This window comes from Homo sapiens, chromosome 3, assembly GCF_000001405.40.
Source record: "Homo sapiens chromosome 3, GRCh38.p14 Primary Assembly".
In the NCBI taxonomy this organism is placed as follows: Eukaryota; Metazoa; Chordata; class Mammalia; order Primates; family Hominidae; genus Homo; species Homo sapiens.
The window spans coordinates 140,187,705-140,215,278 of record NC_000003.12 but is presented as its reverse complement, the minus strand read 5'-3'; the positions used below and the strand labels follow the sequence as shown (position 1 = coordinate 140,215,278).

The following is a 27,574-nucleotide window of genomic DNA, read 5'->3' as shown; positions in this document are numbered from 1 at the left end:
AGGGGAAATGGGAGGAGAGAAGGATTGAAGAGGAAGAGAGGGAGAAAGTGTATGAGGGAAAAGGGGCCAAGAGAAGAGTAAGAAAAAAAGTCAAGGCAAGAAGATGAAGAGGAGAGAAAGACGGCAAAGCCACAGGCTTTTCCTATTGTAAAACCTACCAGTCATACATCAGAGTAAAGGCAGAAAAGAGAATCTTCCCACCTCCTATTTCTACCAGGGGATCAAGTTCTCTCCTTGCAAGAAGTGCAGTTACTAAAATATTCATCCCCTTGCCCTAGATTTACATTATAATGCAGAATCCATAAGTGTTAGTTATTTTGGTTGCTTGATAAAAATTTGATGCATTATGATTAACGTGCATATAATAGTCTAAATTTATTATGTTGTATAAAGACTTCAAAAATATATGGCACCTACGCTTTTCCAAAGTGTAAGAAAACAGATAAGGTTTCAGACAGTCAAAGAAAGATTGCTTTCATTAAATTATGCCGTTACTGAATTTCTTCCCCTATGCTGTATTTTCCCTGTTCTCAAAGCTGTCTGCCACATGAGCAATGACTTGGTGTGGGAATTTCCCCTAGATCTCTAGAAGCAATCCTTGGAGATGCTATTTAAATAATTAGGGGATTCTTTACTGAAAGTCTGCAAGTAGTGAAGATGTGTTAGAAAGATGTTGGGAAAGGGAGTTAGTGTGACCAGGTTACTTGGAGATGATGCACACTCTGGCTCTAGTCCCTGGGACATTTTGAAGCTGAAGAATACTGATCACCTACTCATGCTAGGTACTTTAAAAACCCCTTCAAAGTGGACCTATTCTTTTTTTTTAAGACAGAGTCTCACTGCAAGGCCCAGGCTGGAGTGCAATGGCATGATTTTGGTTCACTACAACCTCCACTTCTCAGGTTTAAGCGATTTTCCTGCCCCAGCCTCCCGAGTAGCTGGGACTACAGGCACGCAGCACCACACCCAGCACCACACCCAGCTATTTTTTTTGTATTTTCAGTAGAGATGGGGTTTCACCATATTGGCCAAGCTGGTTTTGAACTCTTGACCTCAAGTGATCCGTCTGCCTCAGCCACCCAAAGTGCTGGGATTACAGGCGTGAGCCACCATGCCTAGCCTATTTTTTTTTTATAGATAAGGAAGTTGAGGCTCGGATAACCCTATCTAAGACAAATCTAGTAGAGTTGACTTGGGGATACCTTGTACTCATTGCTGTTTATTTTACTTTAGAACTATAAACTAAGCTGCTGGGCCAATTAAACTTTTCTGATCACTGAATATTGAATGGATTAGCTCAAGGATAGAAATTAAACCTAAGTGTTCAACCTCCTACAAGGCCTGTAAGCTCCCTCTGCTCTCATATCCCTCCAGCAAATCCTCTTCTACTTCAGTCAGCTTGGGTGTTTTTCTGTTGCTTACAACTCTGTATCTCACTGATACAGAGCAGGGCTGGATTCGAGCCCCAATCTTACTGAAGCCAATACACAAGGCCATGTTGACCTTCTGCAAAGAAAAGTGAGACTCCACCATCTTGCTAACCTCCTCGCTAACCAAGGGGCCCTGCATTCTCCCCATCACACGGTCAGACCTAGAATAGATGAATGAGGCTAAAACCAGGCATCCTCCTAAATGTAGCACAGAGGAGGGGACCCTGTCCACCAATTGCTACTCCTCAGCACAGCATTCAGCTCTGCTTCTTGGGCAGCTCTGGGCCTGTATCTCTTCCCAGGCCTGTGGGCCATGTGCTCCTCACTTTACTCTGCTAAGAATCAGCAGAGAAGGCCTGGGTTCTCAGCTTCCTTAGGACTAGCTCCTGCCACAGCTCATGCCAAGCAATAGGCAGGTGGAAGGATTATGCCCTATGCAACCTGTGCTCACTGGTATTGTCCAGGGACTCTCAGGATCTTTTTATTGCTTCCCTACCCCTGCCTAGTCCTGGATATTTCCATATCATATCACATATTTTCTTTGGGTAATATGTGGGTACATGAATACAAACATGCAAACACACCACAAACGACACACACACACAACACACACACATGTTACAAAAAATAATACTAAATCTAGGGAAGGATCCTGGGACTGAAGGTGGTAGTCAGAGAGGAGTTTAACTTCATCTGCTGTTTCTTTTCTTCCTTTTTTGCTTAAACAAGGAGAACATGTTCATATATTACTTCTGGTATTAAAAATGAAAGGAAAAGTGCTAATGGCTATGAAGTTATTTGAAGTTTAATTGCTTGATGATGGGTTCATTTATTTGCCAATATCCATCAGGCTCCTCCTGGGAATCAGACACTCTGTAAAGAGACAGGGTGTGGTGGGAAGACAGACTGCACCTTCCCTCAAGGAGCCTATGCTAGAGAGCCAGCAATCACAACAGGGAATGAAGGGCACTGTGAGGGGGCACACAGCTCAGGCATGGAGCACAGGGATGGGTGTCCAGAGCCTGAGGGCTGAGGCCTGGTGGGTCTTATGGTGGGGGATTAGAATTTCAGGCATAAGCGACAATATGTGGCAAGATCTAGAGTGAACAGAAACATGGCCTATTTGAGAAAATCAAATGAGTTTGTTAGAGCTAGTGGGAGGTAGGAGGACCTGTGAAAGGTGAAACAAGAGATATAGGAGGATACAGACAATAAAGGGCCTTATGGGCCAGGTTACAAACTTTAGACTTTAGCCTAAAAGCAGAGGGGAGCCATTGAAGGATTATAAGCAAATGAGACTAAGCAATCTCAGGCTAGCTAAAGGCTGAGAGGCTTTGGGTGGTTCTCAGAACAGGGCCTATAGGCATTCTACTTACAAATACACAGTCTTGATTTCAAAGAGGTATAACAGAATCAACTGGTAATTATCTATATGCAGATTAATTACCTTGTGGATTACCAGTGGCAAATGAAAAATGTTACCCCAAACCGATTTTCCATTCTTGCACAGGACACTGATGGCTGCCTTTCTGTCATCAGTCACCAGCTCCCCTAGGGCTGTAAACTCATTTTAACACTGGACAGATCCAACACAAATCCAGAAGGTAAATCTTTGTTAAAAATTATAAACATAATGCACCAGATAGTCGAGTGTAAATGACTGCTCATTCAGGAAATGCTCACAGCAAGCACCTGTTGTGTTCCCGAGGAACTGAACTATCATGCCTTGGATTCAGTGGAGTCAGCATTTGGTGCAAATGTGTTTGAATTTTGGCCCCTCATGAGATCCATGATGTTTGGAAGATTACTTAATCCCTGTTCATCCATTCCTTCATCTGATGTAAAATATGGATGGTGCAGGGAAAATCTATGCAGGTTTAGAGTTAAAAGTCAGTAGGCATGCTGAGAATTGAAGATTAAACACAGTCAAAATTACACTTTAAGAAAACCCTTAACTCCTCTTTAAATTGTGAGCACTAGGCCCTTGGAAGCCCAAAAGCATCCGTTTCTTTCTTTCCTTCTTTTTCTTTTCCCATCTTTTACTGATTCACTGGAGGTTAAAGTCTAGTTTGAGGGGCTCAGGGAGAAATGGTCAAATAGGGTAAGGGGTGGGTTATTTAGGTTTCTTCCTATTCAAATATGGTGTCATTCAAGTAAGTTAAATGTGTATTATTATTCAATTTCATTTTAGTACTAAAAGCATTACAACTACCTAAAGTCTTTTATTGCAGAGGATTAAATGAATATGTTTATGTACACACAAATATATTCATATATATACACACACACACTACACACACACACACACACACACACAGATTTTGATCCTTGGAGTCCCCAGGTTTAAAAAATCTGAGAGCAAGATAAGTGTGGAGTAGACAGAATGTTAGTGATTTTTGATAAATAATATATATATATATACTGTGTGTGTGTGTGTGTGTGTGTGTGTGAATTACCAAGCATATATCAGGTGGTTTAGGCCTCTCCTTATGTCTACTGGTCATGGAGAATTGAGAACTGATTACTCATCCCTGCCAACCATTCACCCTGGAATGAATCTTAAATAATAGAGCTTGGAAGTTCCTTTAAAATTATACAATCTGAAGATCTTATTTTATAAGGAGGAAACTGAGGCCAGGAAGGGGAATGATCTGTCAGGGCCACTCTGCTACTGAGCACAGAGATGGGAGCACAGGTCTCCACTCTCCTGACAGCCAGTCCAGAGCTTCCATTTCACCATATTGACCCTCCAAAGAGCTAGGCTCTGTCTGTCTAAGGGATGAGACACCTTCTCCCACCACACATACCGACCCCAAGCCTACAAAATCTTTCTTTAAAATCATATTCACAATTATATAGTAAGCAGAATTCTCTGTGCACTGTTGATGGAATACTTGCTGGTGAAGAGGGGGAACTATGAATCGAAGACCCAAAGCTTCCTAGGATGCTGAGGAAATGCTGAGTTATCCTCAGATTCATAGCTATTTAGGTGCTTGTTACTACCGTCTTCCTGATCCAAATCCCACCTCAAGAGTTATAATTACGTTCATTCTGTAGGTTTCTATAATGACCCTCCTCCTCCTTCAAACCCACTGCATGAACAGGGTCCACCAAGATCTACCCAAGATGAAATACCCAGGAAAGTAGCATTCTCTCTCAGGGATGGTGCGAAGACTGGTCCAGACACAGTGTGGATTCACTGCGATAAAATATCCAACCAAGAGAGAAGCAGCTTGATGTTTCCTTAAGCATCTGTGACCTTAGCTCAGGAAGGTATATACATTCCCTCAGTATAACACGAGAAAACCAAAAATTGCTCTCAAATTTGAGAAGTCTGTACCTCAGCTGGGAATGTCTTTCTCCTGCAGGGTGTGTATCATGTGGGTTGAATAGCTCATTGGTGACAAACACCTGCCTAAAAGTGTGTACTGCTTCCAGATGTTTCTTAGCATCCAGATGTACAGCCTGCCTCGGCTACTGCTGCTTCTATCAAGTTGAACACTGTGTCTCTGCTTCATAAGTTACATCCTTGCAAACATAATATGATCATTCATGGGATGTGAGAATTGGTTTTAGTAAGCATAAGCTAAGGGTTTTAGAGTCAGGCAAACTGAAGGTAAGATTCTGGCCCTTCCCTAACACAAACAGCGAGTTCTTTGTGCCTCGATTCCTTATTTGTGAAGTAAAGACAACAGCAGCAACCTCCCAGAGTCATCACACAGATGACATGATGCACAGAAGTCTCTTAATAAATGTGGGTGACAACATAGGTCATGGAATGATAGAATGAAGAGTAGTTTTTCTCAGAGGAGACAGGGAAGCTTCTGTCTGGTCCAACACTGTAACCTCAGCATTTAGTACATGGCAGGAGCCCAATAAATATGAGCAAGGGAGTGAATGTATGAGCACCTGAATGGCCTCTAATTTGCAGCCCTGTAAGTCCTTAGAAAAGTCCTTGAAATCTAAGCTTGCAGTGAGAACTAGGTTGAGGCTCCAACTCACTTCAGAATTGAACCACTGAAAAGCCCTCTTCTGTCACCACCTGAACTGAATTCACTCCCTTTCATCATGCCAGCCCCTTTATGTTACTTGTCCTCTCCAGTTTCTAGCCCAAGGGAGTGAGTGGTGTACAGGGGGGTGTAACTTTTCGACACTGAGTATCAGTGTCCTCTGCATCCTTAGCCCAGGGAACTGTAGGTTCAGGCAGCAGTACGGACAGTGCTGGGCTTCAACAGAGCCTTAAAAAGCTCCTGACTAGCAGCAGCTAACACAGCTTCCCTCAGCACCCCATGCAAGTATGTATAAAGCTATAGGATGAACCTTCACTCCCCAAAGCACCAAAGTCTGTCCCCAGCAGTTAACCTACTTCCAGAATTGAGAGGAGAGTGCTATCTCGCAGCTATCTCGCACCAATGAAATGGAAATTTTTTAAAAAATAAAAATCCCTCTATGGCCACCAAAGCTACACAGCTGAAAGAAAGAGAACCCACTGTCCTGAAAGCATAAGGGATCAGAGTCCATTCATTCCTTGTCTTCCCTGGATCCAGAGATGCAAAGTCAATGCCTACCCAAATACTGAGCTCTCTTTTCTATTGAAGGGAGCCTAGTTCCAGTGGCCAGAGTGCTGCTCGCTGCATCCTCTCCAGTTCTCTCCCCAACTCCTGCTGACAATCATAATGCATACATCATAGATTTTGATTCTTGGAGTCCCCAGGTTTAAAAAATCTGAGAGCAAGATGAGTGGAGTAGACAGAATGGGAGTGATTTTTTTTCCATAAATAAATTGTTCTTATAGAAAGGTGCTGCAATGGTAGTAAAGATGTGAGGACACTTGGGGTTACTACACACTGGGAATTGCCACTTTCTATATACACTGTATCTTTTCAGACTGTGAAATAGCCAGACAGTGAAGGTGGCGGTGGGGTGGAGGCATGAATAACATTTACTGAGCTCTTCCTATGTGTCAGGCATGGTTACAGCAGCATGTAAGTACTGACTCCCTTTATTCTCCCAACTACCCCCTGAGTACAGAGAACAAGTCACACGGCCTTTATGTGGCAGAACTGCATTAAAAACAACAAATAACAAGAAAAACCCAGAGAATGAACTAAAAAAGATGAGTAAAATAAAAAGGATTGGGACAGAATCCCAAAATGCAACCTTAGAATTAAAATTTGCATTGGTGGTGCACAGGTGCTGAATGAACACTGGAAAACTGAGTCAGGGATGCAAAAAATAAAATGAGAAGATGTATAAGAAGGCAGGAAAATACCAAAGTAATGAATAATAATGTCAGAACACATCATGCACTGAGAACAGACATCCTAAGCATCATCTGGATTTGTAAAGAATGAAATCAGTAAACAAAGATACAGTAAATTCCCCTTGCCTAAAATAAACAAAAAATTAATCATAACTGTAAGATTAAAAGATCTTATTGTATTTCATAAAAGAGATAAAGTTAGTGAAGTCTATTCTCCTAAATACAGTCAGCTAAATTTATTGAGGATTAATAAATATTTCTGAGGCAGTAAACTGTTTCTATTAAAAAGAAATTAGGTTTGAGCCTCCAATCGTACATCAAAACAAATTTCAATAAAGAGTTACCTTGAAAATGAGCCATGTATAACCTTGGAAATAACTATATTAGCATTGTTTGGAGTTTTGGTTGGAGAACCTTTGTTTTTGCTTAGAAGAAAAAGTAATGAAAAAAATGATAAAACATGAATGGATTAGACAAATACAGTTTAAAATTTATATCCTAAACCCAATCAAAATTTAAAAGCACAAAATAGAAATATTTTTGCAAAAAATCTGGCAGACAATGGGTTACTATTAAAAAGAAGTTAGAGAGAGACATTTTTGCATTTTAATAGGGAAGCAATAATTACTATAATTATAAATATATATGAATATTAAACTTACAAAACAAGAAACTCACACACCCCATAACCAACAAAATGCAAAATAAAATGTGGCAGCAACTTTGCTTGTCAAACTGGCAAAACAGCAAAGAGAAGCAGGTGCCTTCTTAACTGCTGGTAAGCCAGTTTTTTTTCAGAACCAGTTCTGCACTGGGTAGCAATAATACTAACGATGTATACACTTGACCCAGCAATTCGAATCCTAGGTATTTACCCTATGCAACAATCAAACAAGTGCATCAAGATGTACACAGGAGGATTTTCAATAGGCACAGGATATTCTATTTACCCTGTTCTCAGCTGGTCATGATTATTTTAAAAACCACCATGAACATAAATCCTCACAGGTGTTTTGAACTTTTGAATTTGTGAAGCATGTTCACAAATGTCATCTTATTTAATTTTTAAAACAAGTTCCTGAGGAAAGCATTATTACTTCTATCCCCATTTAAAGACACTGAAAGACAAAAGGGTAAGTTGAGTGTAGCCTGAATTAAAGGTCACAAAGTTTTCTCTGATGTCTGAAATTATGCCATTAAGACAGAAAATATAATGGTAAGATGGGAATGGTGAATCTTTAGACCAACTCCTTTCTCTTAAAAATTAATGAATTGGCATTTAGAGAGGTGAAGTTTCTTACTAAGGCATACATAATGATTCTGGGACACTACCTCACTGTAGCATACAAACATTCTCAGAACGACTTCATGGGCCTACTCTCAAAGCACTTCTCTTTGTTGTTAGCTTATTAGGTAAAATGCAAACACCCCAGAAGCTGGAAATGGGACATGTGATAGGTTGGCTCTGATGGAGAAGTAGGAAGTTAGGGAAGATGTGAAGAAAGGAGTCAGAATCTTCCTGACATCCCCATAGGCTCTGGGTATACAGTAAGCACCTGGATGGGTCAAAAGGAGGACTACAGGAAAAAGAGGGAACCAATACCAAATGCTGAATGTACCACTCAGGCCAGGGCAAGTTCTGATCCCTCATGGGAATAGGAATTCCCAGCTCAGGCAGGTGGCCAGAGCTGCGCTGTAGGTTCTGCATCTGCCCACCAGATGTCTATTGGCTACTGGGCATTTTCTGTAAGGACCCTGGACAGCACTTCAAGCACACTCAAAAGAGAAAAAGGCCCATCAGACTCTCTCTACCCAGAGATTCTAACAGGGCAAGTACAAATGTCTCCTGGGAGAGTTTGTGGGAAGCTTTGCTGGGAGATTTTAAACCTAGTCTCAGCCTCTCTCCTCGGCTGCTTCAAATCCATTTGGCAGCACATTTATCAGATACTTCATTATTTAAAAGAGGAAGCCCTAAAGAGTTGCTTTGGGGAGCTAATTTAGGTCTGGAAGATAAGAGCCCAGTGTTTGGTTTTCACGTGTCAGGTGTCCTCATATTTGATAAGAGCCGATGGGTATTAAGAAGCCAGAGCCAGCCTGAAGCACTTCAAGCTCATTTCCTGCTGGCTGGGGCTGTGATTCCTTGATAGGTTCCTTTAGGGCCACTTTGCCAAATCTCTGCCCTGCCACTCTTCCTTAGCCTCTGGCTTGGCCTCTGCCCTCAAGCTAGGGGAGGTTGAGCTGAGGAGCTCTGCAGGGCTAGCCCAATCTATAGGAGATGTGTCTCTCCATGCCTCTGCCTCCTGCTGAGACCAGGTCTGCACTCTGGAGAAGGAGAAGCTCTCCCTCTGGGCTGCATCCTGCCTCTCTTAACTCCCTTGACTCCAGTGCCAGATAATACACCCTCCCAACTTCATGAACAGACTAATTGGGAGTTGTTTACAGCTCTAGATCTCAGCAGCAGTACTTCTACAGGCAGCAATTTGTTACTTATTAAAGCAAATGTTCTGAAGTTTGTGAATGATTTTCCTTTCTTTTTTTAATGAGTGGATTCAAGTTTATATCTTTAATAAAATCCCTCACTCCTGTGCTTTCTAGTGTAGAGAGCTCCTGTGCTTTTTGGGAATAGAGAAGATGGAGCTCCCAGCCCTCAGGGGCACAGTGCATGCACCTGTGAGTGCACACAGGCGCTCCATCCACCCTGTGTAGCAGCCAGGGACTGACCGGTGGGGACTGCTGGTCTGGAGCTTCATGAGTCATGGCTGTCTGCCTTGATCAGGGAGTAAAAGCTCCTTAGGGCAGCAACCCTGCCTTATCGCCCTTTGGTGACATGGTGCTTGCACACAGTAGGGGCTCAATCATCATAGAGTGGTGGAAAGTGGTGTTTTGACTGATGAGCTCATTAACTATACAAGACCTGTAATTGTGAACATGCATAGCAGGTGGCTGTGTGTGTGTGTGGGTGGGGGGCGGGTCAGGTCCAAACAACAACTGTACCCAATCCTCAATCCTCCTTACCTCCTCTGTGGCTTTCCTAATTTTTTCTGCTCTCCAGCCTCAGTTTAATCTCCCTCCCATATTCCCACCTTTTGTGAACCATGTAGCACCTGGAAATTGTCTTCCTCTAAACTCCTACTTCAAGGTGTGACTAACTTAATCCTTAAATATTTATCCCATGTTCAGGTGCTTCAGGCACATCTGTTTTGTCTTCTTATCTACACTGTGCATGCCCTATAGGCAGATATCACACCTTCTGCCTCTGTGGCATCTATGTCTCCCTTGTGTCACTAAGGACTCCATGAGAGCTCAATACGCATTTGAATTCAGTTGAACCACACGTAGGTATAATGATAAAGAAATAAAACCCATAGGATTTGGTAGTTAAATCCCAGCAAACACCTTTGGATGCTGTGTGATCTTTGGCAAGTTACTTAACCTATCTGACTTTTGATTTCCTCAACGTGAAGATTCAAATAATAGGTCTTCCCTCTTCCTGGATGGAACAAGGGCCGTAACTTACAGAAAATGCCTACCCTCTTTTCATAAGCCTCCCTCTTCCACTCTGACCCACCTCCCCTCACCCCTCCTGATTCCCCAACTCCCTTTCATATTTGAGCCCCTCAAGAATCATTAGCAAGTCAATAGTGTCATGAGGCCCATCAATGTACTGTCCTTAGGGATTGACTATCTCTCCCCAGTGGCCTCATATAGCCAGAATGGGGGACAGCGGGACAGACAGACCTGACAATTACAACCTCCACTGCAGTTCAGCTGCCTGTGGTGGCAGTAACCAGGGGAATAAGACCCTAGGCAATGGCAAGGACCTCAAGAAGGCTCACGTTGCCCTTCAGATGAGAGAAGGTTACCCTCAGCACATCCAGTTTCCCCAGGCAGGGACATTTGGGCATATTGGAGTGACAGGCTGATCATCACACTGTTACCTTTAGTTCCAGAGCTTACCGCCACTCCCAAGTTTTGTCCTTGACAGTAAAGCCTTTCTTTTACAATCAACTAATCCAAGGATTTGCCTTTTCCCAAATTAACACAAAAACAAACACATACACATGCAAATAATTCCAACAGCTAATTTACTGAGAAGTGATTATGTGGCAGATACTAGGTACTTTACATGTATTCATTTGTTAATACTCCCCTCAAGGATGTGGGGTAGGTACTGTGATAAACCTCACTTTACAGATGATGAGCCAAGGCACAGAGAAAGGGTGAGTAACTCGTGCAAGTTTGGAGAGAAAGGGACAGATGATAAGCCGTGAGGTCTGGCATCAGTCTTAGCTTCTGGGTAGTGCCCTGCCCTGCCTCTCTAGGCCAAAACATGTTTTTGGGTGGCCCCAAATAAAAACAACTACCACTTATGAACACCTTCCACATGCCATATGCTATTTCAGATATTATTTCCATCTTCCAGAAAGAGAAATTAAAGATTTGAAAAGTTAAATGATTTATTCAAGATCACCCAGGTAGAAAATGGTGAAGCAGGAATTCAAAGCTGAGTCTAACATGCCACACTGTATCCCAAAAGATACTTTTTCTTTGAAAATGGGGGACAGAAAGAAAGAGATCTAGGGAGATTAACTGCAAGAGGATGTCTTCTCAAGGAGTGGTCCTAGCTGCCTCCTCCTAACCAAGACCCTGGAGAGACACATTTCTCCAGCAACTTTGTTTCCTCCTCTGGCATCTGCCAATTAGACAGAATCTTGCGGGTTATTTTCTTACCATGCTCCAGGTTCTACCTTAAGCAAAATCTTTGCAGCCTCTCCCTCCTCTTCCTCTGTCATTGTTCCTACCACTGCTCATTACCATCCCTGGAATCTCTCCAAAACAAGCACTGCCAGGAGAAGCCATTGTCTTGTCAGCTAAGTCCATTAAAGCTGTCAGGCTCCCTAACAAATCTATCAGGCACCAGGAGGCCTTTCAAAATGATATCATTTGCCATTCAGGCAGAAACAAATAGCTATCCCAGGTGACTGGCAGAGGCACGGGCCATGCGCCAAATTGCACCGTGGTCTCAGGAAAAGAGCTAACATTTTCTACCAACAAATGGCACAGGATGTGCATATTTCTCCCATCTTAAAAACCAAAAAAAAAAAAAAAAAAAAAAAAAAAAAACCCACACTTTCTCTTAACCCCTCTTCCCTCATCAGCCAACATCCTATTTCTTTGTTATCCTTTGCAGTAATGTTCCTAAAAATGGAGTGGGTCCTGCCTCACTATCACCTTTTTAATGTCCTCCCATTTTCTACTGAGCAAGTTCAATCAGATTTTTGTTCACCTTTCCCCTAAACTATACTTTTCAAGGTCACCCATGACCTCCAGGTTGCTACATGCAATGATCCTTTCTCAGTCCTAATCTTACTTGACTTAGCAGCAGCACTTGATCACTCCCTATCTTTGTCAGAGTACACTTAAGGCTGTAAAAACCAACTTCAAATCTCAGTGGCTTAAAATAATAAAGGTTTCTTGCCCACGACACATTCCAATTTGGGAGGGGAGGGTACTACTCCATGTAGACATTCAGGAGCCAGATCCTCCCACCTTGGGGTTCCACTATTACTGAAGGCTACGGGGTCCTCTACTGCTCAAAGATTGCAGGAGATCTTACTGGCTAGACCAGGAGGGGGCATAGATCACTTCCACCCACATTGCACCGTCCAGAACTCAGTCACATGGATGGACCCAAATTCAAGGGAGACTGTGAAATGTAGACTAGTTATGTGCTCAGGAAAAAAAGGACCTGTTGGGTGGGCATCTCACTAGTCTCTTCCACGCTCCTTCTATACTGTCTTTACTTTGCTTCTGGACACTTGACTCTCTTGGTTTCCTCCTAACACACTGGCCATTTATTCTATCTCCTTTTCTCATCCTATCTCTTCTCTTGAACATCTGAATGTCCCGTGGCCTAAAAGACTAGCTGTTTACCAATTGTCCTAAATTTATTTCTGCAGTCAGACTTTTCTCCCAACCTCCAGGCTTTGGCATCCAACTGCCTACTTCACATCTCCACTTGGAAGCTATAAGGCACAGCAGACAGAACGTTCTAACGTGAATGCCTGGTCATCCTTCTCCAACCTACTCCACCCGCATCCTTCCTCCAACTCAGCAATGACACCTCCATCCTTCCAGTTGTTTAGGTGCCAAATCTTGTAGGCATCTTAGACTTCTTTGTTTCTCTCACACCTCAGATAGAACACATCAGGAAATCCTGTTAGCTCGGCCTTCCAAACATACCCACCCACAATCCCACTACTTCTCACCTGCTGATATAAGCCACTGGCACTCTCAGCTGTTACTGCAGTGGCCTACTAAGTGGTCTCCCTGACACTGCTCTTGAGCCCTGTAACCTCTTCTCAATATAGGAGCAGAGAGGCCCTATCACAATGTAAGTCAGATCACATTACTCTTCTGCTCAAACCCCTGCTGTAGCTCCCATTTCACAAAGGAAAAGCCTATGTTCTGACCATGGCCCACAGCCCTGCTTGATCCGCCCACCTCTAATACTGCCTGACCTCCAGGCTTTCCCTAAATAGCCAGACCTTTGCAATGGCAGTTGCCTCTGCTGAAAACATCAGAGCCAGATAGCACAGGGTGCATCCCCTCATTTCCTTCGAAACTTTGCTCAATATCATCTTCACAGTCAAGCAAACCCTGACACTAAATCTTCCCTTTCCTCCTCTTCTGTGTTTTCAGGTTTTTTTTCCTCATTTTGTATCTAACTTATTATATATCATTATATATACACACACACACATACACACACACATATACATGTGTGTGTGCGTGCATATAATTTGCTATGTCTGTTATTTATTGTCCGTGTTCCACTTCTACCTCAGCTGTGATGTAAGCTTCACCAAGGCAGAGAACACTTTTTGGCTTACTGATATATTCTAAGTTTCTAGAACAGAGCTTAGCACACAGTAGGTGCTTAATAAATATTTTTAAAATAAATAATTAGTATTTTGCACCACTGGAAGTTATAGAAGTTGTAGAACATTGAGAGTTAGTCTCTCAGTGGCTAAGGTATGACACTTTGATTCCCCATGCCTCTATTCCAATCATGCCATTCTAACCCTTCCTGGCTCTCCATTAAGTACAGATCCCAGCTGTCAGTGAACATCCTCTGCATTTTTGTCCCAGTGCTCTTCTCTCATTGTTGCTCCTACTTCCCCTACACATGAGACCTGTGTGCCAGGCAAAGTGACTGCACAGCTGCTACCTTGACAAGGCCCCATTTTTCTCCCCTCTGTGTCTCTGCTCCAGGCTTTCCTGCTCTATTTAATGCAGCCCCTGAGACCTAGTCATCTCCCAATGGCTATTTCGAGAATCATCTCCCACAAGAAAGCCTATCCTGATGTCCCCAGTTGAACGGACACCAAACCAGTCTCTAAACAACACAGTGCTCTCTTGTATCTCTCTCATGTCAGCTTCCTTCCTCCTCTGAATAAAACTTTTGAAGGCAGGGCCTCTGTCACGTTCATCTCAGCCAACAAGTATAGGGCTTTATGCTCATTTATGTAGATTTGTATTTAACAGACAGTTCTGTTCTGTGCTAGGATTGAGGTCAACCTCCCTGACTTCAAGATGCCCCTTTGGGAGAGGAGACTCCTAGGGGAACAAGCAGTTTCAAGGTTATGCTATCAAGGTCCTTTGGTGATGTGTCAACTTGGATAGGGAGGGGGTGTACTGGGGAAGGCTTAACACAGGAGGTGACACCTGAGCCAAGACCCAAAGAAAGAGCAGGTGTTTAAAAGAGGAGGCAGGTGGGGGAGGGGAGGTGTCCAAGAGTAAAGACCAGCAAGGGACTCAATAATATGTGTTAAATTCAATTCGATCATTGAGAAATGTTCTGTCTTTCATGCTCTTTCAAATGTTTGATTATATACACACAATGTCTTAATGAGATTGAGGAAAAACTCTAGTGCCTTAGGACAAGAAAAAAAGAAGTTTTAACTTAATAGCAGGATTGTGCGTGTCAATATAGCCTTATTAACCCTTCCTGATGCTTTCACATCCCTGGCATATTTTTTTCACAACTATCCTGTAGATATAAAGAGCATGCTATTAGCATTGCCATTTCACAGACTAAGAAATAAACTGTTATTTCTTGTATGGCTTGTTGACTGCTGACTGACAGGCATACTGACTCTGTTTTCAAACACAGGCTCTTTTTGGCGGTCATTACGTGGAGTCTAAAGATGGGGTTCCTGAAATGACTTAGGGGATCCATAAATCCCCTGAAACTTATGTAAAATTCTCCAAGAATTTTTTACGGCACTAAGTTCTGTATCCTTCATTATATTTCAAAAAAATTATCTTAAAATATGTACAAACCACTGCATCATACCATAACCAAGGCCTCTGAGGAGAAAAGAAATCTTGGCTTTCATGATAGCCTTGATCAAGATCAAACTTGGGACTGGTTCATACAGCCCCTGCCTAGAACAAAGTTCCCAGGGAAAGAAATATAAGGGGAGACGTAGAATACAGACTCTTAAATCTGAACTGCCTTCATGCCTGGACTAAAGGCCTTGTAGGAGGTACCCAGCGAGCCACCAGCTGCTTTTAATCCTGGCATAAATAATGCCCTCTAGTCAGAATCTGAACTGTGTTTGTGCATAGTGTTTGGGTTCAGTGCCACTAAATTTAAAAGACCTTTGCAATTTCAAACATACACTGTTTGGCTTGGATTAAATGTCATTAAAGTCTAATTAAGTGTTTACTAGCAGCCAACTCTGAGTCCACCTGATGGCCAGGGGCACTTACTCAGTTTGTTCCTCCCAGTGGTTCCCACACTTTGGAGAACATCAGATTCAACTGGGGTGCTTATTAGCTGTATAGCTACCCAGAACTCACCCCAGGCCCACTGGCCTCATTTCTGGGAAGGCCAGCTGTATCAGTCAAGTGTGGAAAATCTGGGGTAGAAAGAGATTGAAAGAAAAAAATGTGCAGTATATCCCAACCATCCTTGATGACAATAACCAGGTGGGCAGGGGCCTGGGCGGCTCCTAGTTTGATAAGCACCCCTGATGATTCTTACCACCAGAGAGGATTTTTCTGGGAAACACCCACCTCTTGAGTGGCTTCCAAATTTGGCCCTGTATCAGAAATGCCTACTAGGTTTCAAACCAATTCTGACCAGGTCTACTCCAGACATACTAAATTAATTTTTTTTAAGGGGTGAAGCCCAAGAATGTGTTTAGAAAGCTCCTCAGGTGATTCTGATGGTCAGGAAAGGAAATCAATGATGAGATAAAGGGTTATTCTGATGAAGAAAGCCTACATATTCACCATAGTTTCTTCTCATTTCCCCCTCAAAAGAGCCCTAGCTGCTCCCAGCCACCCTCATCAGCCAGTGTTCTTTGCCCAAAGTGGGAGAAAAAGTCTGATGCAATATTCTGCGTACTTACAAGATAAGGAAACTCACACATGGAAAGATAGGCCCGAGACTAGACTGATTTTCCATCTTCTGGCCCTGACACTTTCTTGAGGACTTGAGAGAAAGGCTCAGAGTTAGAATCTCCATGGAATATGAGAAAATAATTTCCCCACACAGGGGCTGTCATCCGGGCCTTGGAGAATCCTACCTGGGAATTAGAATCAGACCTCCCTAGATGCTGAGAGCCAGGCAGGTAAACTAGAGGCCCTGTCTCTCAGTTGATTTCATTCAAAGTGGGATATAATTTCATCCATACCTACGTTAACCTCCTGGGATTATTCAGAACAGGGAATTGCAGGCCACAACCCACAGGCTAAATTCAGCCACTGTTTTAGAGCCTGCAGACTAAGAATGGTTTTTACATTTTTAAATGGTTACATTTTAAATGGTTAGATTAAGTACCTACATAATGGCCTAAACGTCACCTGTTGACCTGCAAAGCCTAAAATACTTACTATTAGATCCACTACGAAAAAGTTTGCTGACCCCTTCTTTACAGGATTAAATAAAGTGCTTGGCATATGTGTACTACCTGCTGTTATCTTTCCAAAACCTTTTAGGAGCTGAGAACATCCCCCAGCTGACAGCCAGCAACAAAGCCGGGACCTTACCCTAGGACAATAAAGAACTGAATTCTGCCAACAGCTGGTGAGCCTGGCAGAGGACCCTGAGCTCCAGAGGAGAGTGCAGCCCAGCCAAAGCCTTTCTTTCAGCTGGGTGAGACTGTGAACAGAGGGCCCAGTCACGCTGTGCCCAGTCTCCTATGCACAAAAATTGTGAGATAACAAATGGGTATTATTTTAAGCCACTAAATGTGTGATGCTTTGTTACACTGCAAGACAAAACTCATACAGGTGCCCCAAAGGCACCAACACAACATGAAGTATGCAGCTGGACTGTGGACACAGTCATTGTCTGGTTCAGAATGGGCAACTTAATTACAGTAAGAAGATAAAATTTAAGAGCAACCATCCACTATGGCCCAGATACAGTATGATATAAAGACATTTTTCCTATTGCAGAATATGTGAAGTGTCTATATGTATTTATTGATGCCTTCTAAAACCTTTCCATTGCTTTTGCTTGAAACACTGGTACAATTCATGAGGACTTTCAAGACCACTTCAAGAGCCACAAATAAAATTCTAATTGCCCAGGATCCACAGGATAACAAAGCCAGAAATACCTTAGAGATCATCCAGTAAAACAGTCTGGCCCTTTGTTTTACACATGAAAAAACTCAGCATCACAGAAAGGAAATAATTTTTCCAGGGATACATTCTGAGCTAGATGCAGAATAGAAACTAAAACTGAGGTCTTCTGCCTTTTGAACTAGGATTTCTCAACTTCAACATTATTGACATTTTGAGCCAGATAATTCTTTGGTGTGGGGCTATCCTGTATATTGTAGGACGTTTGGCTGCATCCTTGGCCTCTACTCACTAGATGTCACAGCAACCTATAATCTCCCATTAAGACAACCAAAAAATGTCTCTGGACATTGTTAACAAGCTTCTGAAGAGTAAGAGGGGTAAGATCACCCTCAGTTGAGAACCAGCGATCAGAACGAGTAATGCCCATCTATGTGAACTGCACTCTAACATTTACCTGACAGCGTGATTTCAGCAAGTCACTTAACTTCTCTGAGCCTGAGTTTCCTTATCTTTAAAAAGGAAAAATAATGCCACCTGTACAAACTCATGTGATTGGTGAAAATGAATAAAACAAATTTTATATATATTTAGTGATTTTATTTAGATTCACATATATGTATAGTCCCCCAGTACAGCACCAGGCACATAATAGACTGGAAATGGCTATGATTTTTATTACTTTTAGAAGATGTGATGGCCTGACATCAGGGTCCAGGCTGTTGATATCCAGCAAGCTCTTTCTCCTCTCTGCAATCTTCTGTAAATGCCACTGAACAATCATTTCATAGTGAGGACAGCTACCTTGGCAGCAGTGAGCTGAGACTGTGGCCTTCTCACATTTAGAGGAAAGAAAGAGTGCTTGCAAGCCAGGCAGGGTTGTATTTGCCCATACTGGAAAACAAACTACATGCTATTTGTTTGTTTTTGTCATGTCTTTAAGCTTCCTTATCTCCAGCTGCAGGATTCTGCAAAGTAAAATTCAATTTGTATTTATCATCCTTTTCCTAGCTGAGTAAGTCAACTCCTTCATTGCCAAAACTCATAAAAAATGTGGAATTGCCAACGACCTCTGAAAATTTCAAGATTTGGGGACAGAAAAGGCCTAGGTGCAAGAGCAGGAGAGAAATAATGTTTTTCATAACAAAATAACCATGTTGCTATTGTGATCACAGTGCTATATGAATATGAACAGAATCTTCAATTCTGGGGTTTTCAAACTTTGGCTTCCCCATGAAACCTGTGTGTGAAGAAGTCTAAGACTGTACAGTAGATGAGAGTGGACAGCTTTGTCTGTTCTGGCTGCCTCTTTCTGTTTCTACCCCCACTGTGGATGTTTATGCTGGTTGTAATTACACGGGACTGAAAGGCACATATGCATCTTCGGAGCCAGCAATGATTATCTCATATCCACCCTGATGACCAGCAAGGGTCAAAGGAATGTGTGCTGGAGACTTCATGGGTATATCCCTGACTTCTTTCTCCCCTGGAAACAGCAAGTAATACCCATTCCACTCTGGTTCCTCCCAGCAACCTGGTTTGATCAGGCAAGTACATGCTGAGACAACTGCTTCTGCCTTCACTCCCATTTCCAGAACCTGCCCAGGAATGATAACTCATGAACAAATCCTACATCTGCACCTTAGCCCTCCTGTTTCCTTCCTGGACTTTCGTTAGTGTGACTTGGATTTTTCCCCCGCCTTCCTCTGTCATGAGATTTGGGAAAGCTCCGCCATCTCTGACAATGACCAGCTGCCAGGACAAGGATGCCTTCAAAGTCAGAACCTGATGTAGCTAAAAGGTGCCTGTTTTTTCTCTTTCAGCTGTTATTGGAGCTAGTGTGGCTGTTCCCAGGCATTCTTCTTCGGTAACACGAAAGATGCCTTTGGATTCTTGAGAAAATCCGCCTAGGACTAACCATCAGGAAGATGCCCCAACTAGGGAGCTGCCCATCATCGCATCTATTTCTGAAACCTCTTCTCCATCAGCATCCACTATAGAAGGGTATGTTTCATTTGTTTATTCATATAAGCTCCATAGTGAGAAGTCCTTATCTGTCTCATTCATTCCCTTTATAGTTTATATGCAATAGGTAATAGTTTCTTATATATGAATGAATGTGGGATAGGAAAAGCACCCATCTTTGAGACGTAAAAACCTTTGAGTGTACCAAACTCACAGTCCTTTATCCTGTATTGCCTAGGTAACTTCAAGTAAAATTCACAAGCTCGTTGCCTGGAGTGAAATACAGTCAGCAGTATTGTTTAATCTGTAAACTCTTTTTCTACATGATGCTTTATAGATAAAACTAAATTACTTTTTAATATACATTTGGAAATTCAACACAAAACTCTGGATTCTGGCTTCTTCTGGAAAATGACAAGATCTGGCAGCCTTGGGCTTGCCTTTCCAGATTTTTTTTTAAAAACTATTTTTTTCTCATAACCATTCTTTTATTATAATAAATTAGCTTTATTTTTCTTAACTATTCTTCCCACTAAGTAAAACTAAAACCCTGGACATAATATATAAAACAAACACAAGAAGATTCTGAATGCTGGGGAGAAAAAGGCAGACCACCTAGGGGCCTTGAGACCCAAGAAATGACACAGTGGTGAGTTCTTTAGGTTTTCTTCTTACCTCATACATCCAAAACTTGGAGCAGAAGGAGAAAGCAACTCAGAAATGACAACTGGTACAAAGAGAAACCAAAAAATACCCAAGAAAAGGCTGCTTTCTCTAGCCAAAGAGCTAGGAAAATGGCAACATAGCAGACAGAAAACCTTCAGACAACAGCTGCTCTACTCAGATAAACACGGCATAAAGAATTGTGGCCTCACTCCTACCCAGGTCAGCAAAGAGTAAGTAGAAAGCCTAGACATCCACACTCATGGGGCTGTAATGAGGTGCTCCCACACCCAGCTGGAGGAATATCAGAGAAGTGAAGAAGGAAGCTAGAACTTTCATCCCCAATGGCCAGCAATGAGGACCCTCCCGTAGTACAATGAGGAACCTCCTATAGACTACATGAGGGGCCTGTATGTCCACCATCACTGGCAGTAATGAGGAGTTCTATCCTCTCCCCACTGGGGTTGTATCAGAAAAGGCTAATTGAGGAGTTAGGACTTTCACCATTGCTCATTTTTAATAAAGCCACTTCCACTGCAGTATTACTGGATACCATATGAGAAGCTGGAACTTCCACTCTTACCCAGCAATAATGAGGTGATACCCCCACTTAGGTGTCAATGAAGCCCAAGGAGAGAACCTGGAATTCTACCTCCAGTTAGCAGTAAGGAGGTGATGCCCCCATTGCTGAAGCAATGTCAGAAAAAGCTAACCAAAACAGAAAGTTTAAATAAGACCCAGAGTCTCAGAGCATAACACAAAATTGCCCAGATTTCAATAGAAAAATTACTCATTACCTCAAAACCAGAAATAACTCAACTGATTTTTTTTAAATCAGTAGATGCCACTACTGAGAAAACAGAGATATTACAATCATCAAACTGCTACAGACTGAATGTTTATGTCCCCCCATTTCCTCATTTATATGTTGAAACCTAATCCCCAATGTGATATATTTCAAGGTGGGGTCTTTGAGAGGTGCTTAGGTCATGAGGTAAGAGCCCTTATGAATGGAATTAGTGCCCTTATAAAAAGAACTCCAGAGAGCTTCCTCATCCCTTCCACCATGTAAGGACACAGTGAAAAGATGACCTTCAGTAAACCAGGAGATGAGCCCTCACCAGGCACTGACAGCACCTTGATCTTGGACTTCTCAAACTCCAGAACTACAAAAAATAAATTTCTGTTGTTTATTAGCCACCTAGGGTATGGTATTCTGTTCTAGCACCCTAAATGGACTAAGATATTGACAAAGATTTTAAAGTAGCCATGATAAAAACACATGTATGGTCAATTCTAAACACAGATGAATCAAAAGAAAAAGTAGAAAGCTCAAGAAAAGAAGTAGAAAGTCTCAGCAAATAAATAGAAAATATAAAGAACCAAATGGACACTTTGCAACTACAAAATAAAATAACCTAAGTAGAAACCTCAGTGCATGGGCTCATCAGCAGAATGGAGGAAAGAATCAATGCACAGGAAAAGAGAAAAATAGGAATAACTCAATTAGTTATTAGAGAGAAAACAGACTTACAAAATACAGAGCCTCAGGAACCTATGGAACTATAACAAAATATTCAACATTCATGGCATTGGAATCCTAAATAGGAAAAAGAAAGCAGTGCTAAAAAAAATCCTCAAAGCAAAAATGGCTAAAACTTTCCATATTTGGCAAAAGATACAAACCTATAGATTCAAGTAGTTGAACAAACACCAGAGAGGATATACTCAAAGAAGTTCATGAAAAGACATCACAATTAAACTGAAAATAAAAGACAAAGTTAAAATCAACCAGAATGGTACCTTACCTATAGTAAAACAAACAAACAAACAAACAAAAACAGAATGGCAATGGATTTCTAAGCAGAAATAAAAAAGGCTAGAAGGAAGGGCACAACATTTTTCAGGTGGTGAAAGAAAAGAATTTTCAACCCAGAATCCTATATCCAGCAAAAGTATCCTTCAAAAATGAAAAGAAAATCAAGACATTCTTGAATGAAGAAAGACAAAAGGAATTTGTCACCAGCAGGCCTATTCTGAAAGAAAGGTGGTTAAAGGAAGTGTTCAAAACCAAAAAAAAAAAAAAAAAAAAAACTATAAAAAAGGAAACCTTGGAGCATCAGAAAAGAAGAAAGAACAAGATAAGCAAAAATAATGGTAAATACAAAAGCCCTTCCTTCTCCTCTTGAGTTCTTTAAATCACATTTTACATTTTAAGCAAAAATTATAATACTGATACGGCTCTAAGCATATATAGAAGAGACATTTAAGACAATTACAAACAGAGAAGGAAGAAGCAATGGAAAGGAGATATTCCCATACATCTTTTGAACTGATAAAATGACAATACCAATAGACTATAATAAGTTATGTAGAATACCTAGATCAACCACTAAAAAAAGCCATACAAAAAGATACACTCAAAAAGCCATAGTTATATCAATATAGAGTTCTAAAATGTGTCCAACTGACAAGAAAGCAGGAAAACAGAACCTCCCCCTACCCCGCCAAAAAATAGAACAACACAAAAATAAAATGGCAGATCTAAACCCTACCATATAAATATAAATGATCTAAATACAACAATGAAAAGGCAGATCTCAGCAGAGTAGATTGAAAAACATGACCCAACATGCTGCTAACAAAAAATTTACTTCAACAGAGGCAGTTTGAAAGTAAAACAAAAAAAAATGGAAAAAAAAGAATATATCATGCAAACAATAATCAGAGGAAAGCGGTGTGACTACATTAATAACAGATAAAGCAAACTTCAGAGTAAAAAAAAAATTACTGGAGACAGAGAGTGACATTGTATAATGATTAAAGGGCCACTTCACAAATATGATACAGCAATTCTCAATGTGTATGTACTAAACAACAGAGCTGCAAAATATGGGAAGAAAAACTGGTAGAACTAAAAGAAGAAATAAGTCTATTATTGTAATTTAAAATTTCAACATCCGTTCCTCAATAATTCATAGAACTAGTCCGAAAATCAGCTAGGATACAGAAAAGTTCAACATCAAATAACAGGATGTAATCTACGTTTATAGACCCGAACAAAAGCAGAACATGCATTTGTAGTAAGTGCCCACAGAATATCTACTGAGATAGACTATATACTGGAATATAAAGTAAACCTCAAAAAAACTGAAATCATACAAAATATGCTTTCTGAACCACAATGGAATTAAACTAGAAATCAATAATAGAGAGATAACAGGACAATCTCCAAACATTTAGCAACTTTGCAACACATTTCTAAACACATGGGCCAAAAGAGAAGTCTCAGTGGAAATAAGCTAGTACATATAACTGAATACAAACACAACACATCAAAATTTGTGGGATACAGCTAAAGCAGTGATGAGAAGAAAATTTATAACATTAAAAAAGGAAACATCTCAAATCAATAATCAAAGCTCCCACCTTAAACATCTAGGTAAAGAAGGGCAAAATAAGCCCATACAAGTAGGATGAAGGAAATAATACAGAAAAGCAATAAAGAAAATCAATAAAATAAGAAGCTGTTTCTTTGAAAAGATTTATAAACTTGATAAACCTGCACTAAATATGAAATAGTGAAAATATAAGTTATCAACATGAGGAGCAAACTGGCAGATATTACAGATCCTGCAGATATCAAAAGGATACTACAGACAACTACATAAATTTGTCAACACATAGATTTGTCAACTTAGACAAAATGGACCAATTCTTTGAAAAACAGAAACTACAACCCATCCAATATAAAATAGAGAATTGAAGAGCTCTGTAACTATGAACGAAATTGAATTCATAATTTAAAAACTCCCCTAAAAGCACTGTCATGGAGAATTTCACTGGGGAATTTTAACAAACATTTAATGAAAAATTAATACCAATTCTACATAATCTCTTCCAGAAAACAGGAGGGGACACTTCCCAATTCACTTTATGAAGTAGTATTACTCTGACATAAAACTAGACAATAGCAATACAAAGAAAACTACAGACTAATATTCCTCATAAATATGGATTAAAAAATTCTCACTAAAACATTAGCACATAGAAATCAGCAAGCTATAAAAGAATGATATACCACAATTGAGTAGGATTTAGTCTAAGGATGTGAGGTTGATTCAACATTTGAAAATCAATCAGTGTTATTATATTAACAAACTAAAAAAAATTACATATTCATATTGATGAATGCAGGAAATAAGTATTTGACAAAATCAACACCCATTTATACTTTTTAAAAAAACCTCACAGAAACCCAAAAATAAAGAACTGCCTCAACTTGAAAAAGGCATTTACAAAACCTCTACAGGTAACATTATATTTACTGGTGAAAGACTGAATATGCTTTCCCCTGAGACTGGGAACAAGGCAAGGATATCTTCTCTCATCACCTCTGTTCAATATCATGCTGGAAGTTCTAGTCAGTATAAAGACAATAAAAAGGAAATAAAACCCAAAGGATCAGAAAGGAAGACATAAAACTCCCAAACTGCACATGACTTGATTGTCCATATGGAAAGTCCCAAGAAATCTACAAGAAAAAAATCTAGAACTATTAAATTCAGCAAGGTTGCATAACATAAAACATAGCACCATACACATAAAAAAAATTGTATGTCTATATGTCAGCAGTAATAGCAAATACAACACAATTAAAAATACAATACTATTTACAGTCACTCAAAAAATGAAATACTTAGATATAAATATAAGAAAACATGTGCAGGAATATATATTTAAATCTATACAACACTAATGAAAGAAAAGAAATGTAAACACATGTAGAGATATAACATGCCCCTGCACTGGAAGACACAACGAGGTAAGATGTCAACTGTCCTAAAGTTGCTATACATGTTTAACTCAGCCCCTATCAGAATCCTTGCAGGATTTTTTTTTTTTTTTTTTTTTTTTGTAGCTATAGATGAGGTTATCCTAAAATCTTTTGGTAAGGTAAAGGAAATAGAATAGTTAAAACAGTTTTGAAAAAAAAATTGAGAGTAATCCATTTACACAATTTCAAGGCTTATATAGCCACAGTAATCAAGACTATATAATTTTGGTGGGGCCATTGACACAAAGATTAATGGATGAGAGAAGAGAATCCAGAAATAGACCCATACAACATGCCTGCTATGTTCTGAATGTGTGTGTCCTCCCAGCAATTACATATGTTGAAACGTAATCCCCCAGGTGATAGTATTAGGAGGTGGGGCCTTTGGGAGGTCATTAAGTCATGAGGGCAGAGCCCTCATAAGTAAAATTAGGTCCCTTATAAAACAGGCCCTAGAGAGCTGTCTTCCCCTTTCTACCCTGTGAGGACTTAGCTAAAAGTGACATCCATGAAGGAGAAAGAAGGCCCTCAGCAGAAATCAACAATGCTGGTATTCTGATGTTGAGTTTCCCAGGCTCCAGAGCGGTGAGAAATAAATTTGTTGCTTATAAGCTTACTCAGGCTATGGTATTTTTTTATGGCAGCTTCAATGAACTCAGACGATGCCCTGCTGATTTTTGACCAAGGTGCAATTCAATGGAGGAAAGATAAACTTTTAAACAAATGGATGAGGGAGGAATTAGATATCCATAGGCAAAAAATACAAATAAAGGAGTCTCAACCTAACTGTACAGGTTTTACTTTATACAAAAGTGTTTTACTTTATACAAAAATTAAAATATTTACAAACCACATATCTGACAAAGAATTAGTACTTAGAATATGTAAATAATTCTCAAAACTCAACCGTAAGAATATAAATAACAAAAATCCTAATGCAATTATAAAATGAACAAAAGACATTTCATGGAAGAGGATATACATGTGGAAAATAAGCATATGTAAAAACATTTGACATCATCAGCCATTAGAGAAATGCAAATTAAAACCACAATGAGATAATACATACACACCTAAATGACTATAATAAAAAACAGCGACAAGATCAAATGCTGGTGTGGATGCAGAGAAACTGTATCACTTATACACTGCCGGTGGGAAAGTAAAAATGGTACAGCTAGAACACACTTCAGCAGTTTCTTATAAAACTTAACAGGCAACTACTATATGACCCAGCAACTATACTCCTGACATGTATCCCAGAAAAATAAAGACTTATGTTCACACAAAAACTTGTACATAAATGTTTACAGCAGCTTTATTCAAAATAGCCCTAAATGGGTAATAAGGAATGGTTAAAAAGAGTGTGGTATATCCATACCATGGACTACCACTCAACAATAAAAAGGACAGACTATTCATATAGGCAACAACTTAGATGAATTTCCAGAAAATGATGCTAAGAGAAAAAAAGCCAATTCTAAAAGGTTGCTTACTGTATGATTCCATTCATATCATATATTTAAAAGGACTAAATTACTGAATGAGAACAGGTAAGTTGTTGCCAAGGGTTAAGGAGAGTAGGTGGGAGGGAGTAGGTATGGCCATAAAAGGGCAATGTGGGATCCTTGTGATAGAAATGCTCTGTATCTTGTCTGTAGTAATATCGATATTTTGGTTGTGATATTTTACCATAGCTTTGCGTGATGTTATCACTGGGGGAAACTGAGTAAGGTATACACATAATCTCTCTGTATGATGTCTTACAACTGCATATGAATCTGTAATTACCTCAAAATAAAGAATTTAATTTTTTAAAAAACAACTTTCTTAAAAAATAATCACCCAATGCTGGGTAGCATCAGTCTCTTTCCTTGCTCTGTCTCCTCTTTGAATCACCACAGTCCCCTCTAGTCCAGACTTACCCTAGCCAGGCCTCTTCCTTCACTGGGCTACCTTAAGCATGTGCATGGTGATCTGGGAAGCACACCAGCTGGGATGGCATTGCTCCAAGTAACCAGAGGGCCACGAGGAGTTGGGATTAACCCCTGCAAGGTGCAATGTAAGCATCAGGATGAGGCATGCCCCTCTCTCCCTACCACCATGCTTCTTAGTGGTAGGTTGTAAGCCACTCAGTCCTTTTCAATTCAAATCAACAAATATTTACTGAGAACTTCTAAGCGAACTGGTGTGCTAGGACATAAGGATAAACAAGCCTGCTTTGGTAGGGGGAGCAGACATTGAAATAGATTGCATTGCAAGTGCTGCCGAATTCGGGACTGAGCCCAGGAGCAAACACGCCAAAGCATAGAAGGTGAAAGGTCAGCTTAAGCATGTAATGTAACAATCTATCATTCATTCATTCAACAAACTTTGAGCACCTACTCAGTGCTCAGTGCTAGAAACACAAAATGGATTCAGAAACTGCCTTAAGACTAGTGAGAAGGCAGGCTCACAAATAGACAAGTACACTCCACTGTGGCAAGTGCTGGGCCAGAGGAGAGCACTTCAGGACCTGTGGCCATGAGGATGGAAGCCAAAGGAATGCTACTCAAGGATTCCTTTGATCAGTGCTGATATCAAGTCCTGGGTGGGGTGGAAGTGAGACTTTGATATGGAGCAGGTGGAATTATATGGCCCATCTCAGCACTCCCCTGCTGTCTGACTACACCACGTTGGGTTGCATTTGGCTCAGTGCCCTCTTGTAAATCAAGTTGATACATTTATAATGATGTCTGATGAACTGAATGTGGGCATGAGAGGAGGAGTGAGTGGACAGACACAGTGGAAACCAGATGAAAGCCAGGAATATCA

The 27,574-nt window shown here is 40.6% G+C and overlaps 1 protein-coding gene across 2 annotated transcripts in view, besides 3 other annotated features; it reads right to left on the bottom strand.

The window, feature by feature from the left end:
* Positions 1–27,574, bottom strand: part of CLSTN2 (calsyntenin 2) — a 642,213-nt gene that overhangs the window by 362,119 nt on the left and 252,520 nt on the right. The gene's annotated exons all lie outside the window — the stretch shown is intronic.
* Positions 10,093–10,664: an enhancer, noted in NCBI's record as "OCT4-NANOG hESC enhancer chr3:139923457-139924028 (GRCh37/hg19 assembly coordinates)". NCBI's record gives its function as "activates a minimal SCP1, AML or CMV promoter by ChIP-STARR-seq in naive and primed H9 embryonic stem cells {active_cell/tissue: H9 hESC(naive and primed)}" and the evidence as "EXISTENCE:reporter gene assay evidence [ECO:0000049][PMID:30033119]".
* Positions 10,665–11,237: an enhancer, noted in NCBI's record as "OCT4-NANOG hESC enhancer chr3:139922884-139923456 (GRCh37/hg19 assembly coordinates)". NCBI's record gives its function as "activates a minimal SCP1, AML or CMV promoter by ChIP-STARR-seq in naive H9 embryonic stem cells {active_cell/tissue: H9 hESC(naive)}" and the evidence as "EXISTENCE:reporter gene assay evidence [ECO:0000049][PMID:30033119]".
* Positions 15,417–16,616: an enhancer, noted in NCBI's record as "BRD4-independent group 4 enhancer chr3:139917505-139918704 (GRCh37/hg19 assembly coordinates)". NCBI's record gives its function as "activates an origin of replication core promoter dependent on BRD2, P300/CBP, MED14 and CDK7 cofactors, and independent of BRD4, by STARR-seq in HCT116 cells {active_cell/tissue: HCT116}" and the evidence as "EXISTENCE:reporter gene assay evidence [ECO:0000049][PMID:35650434]".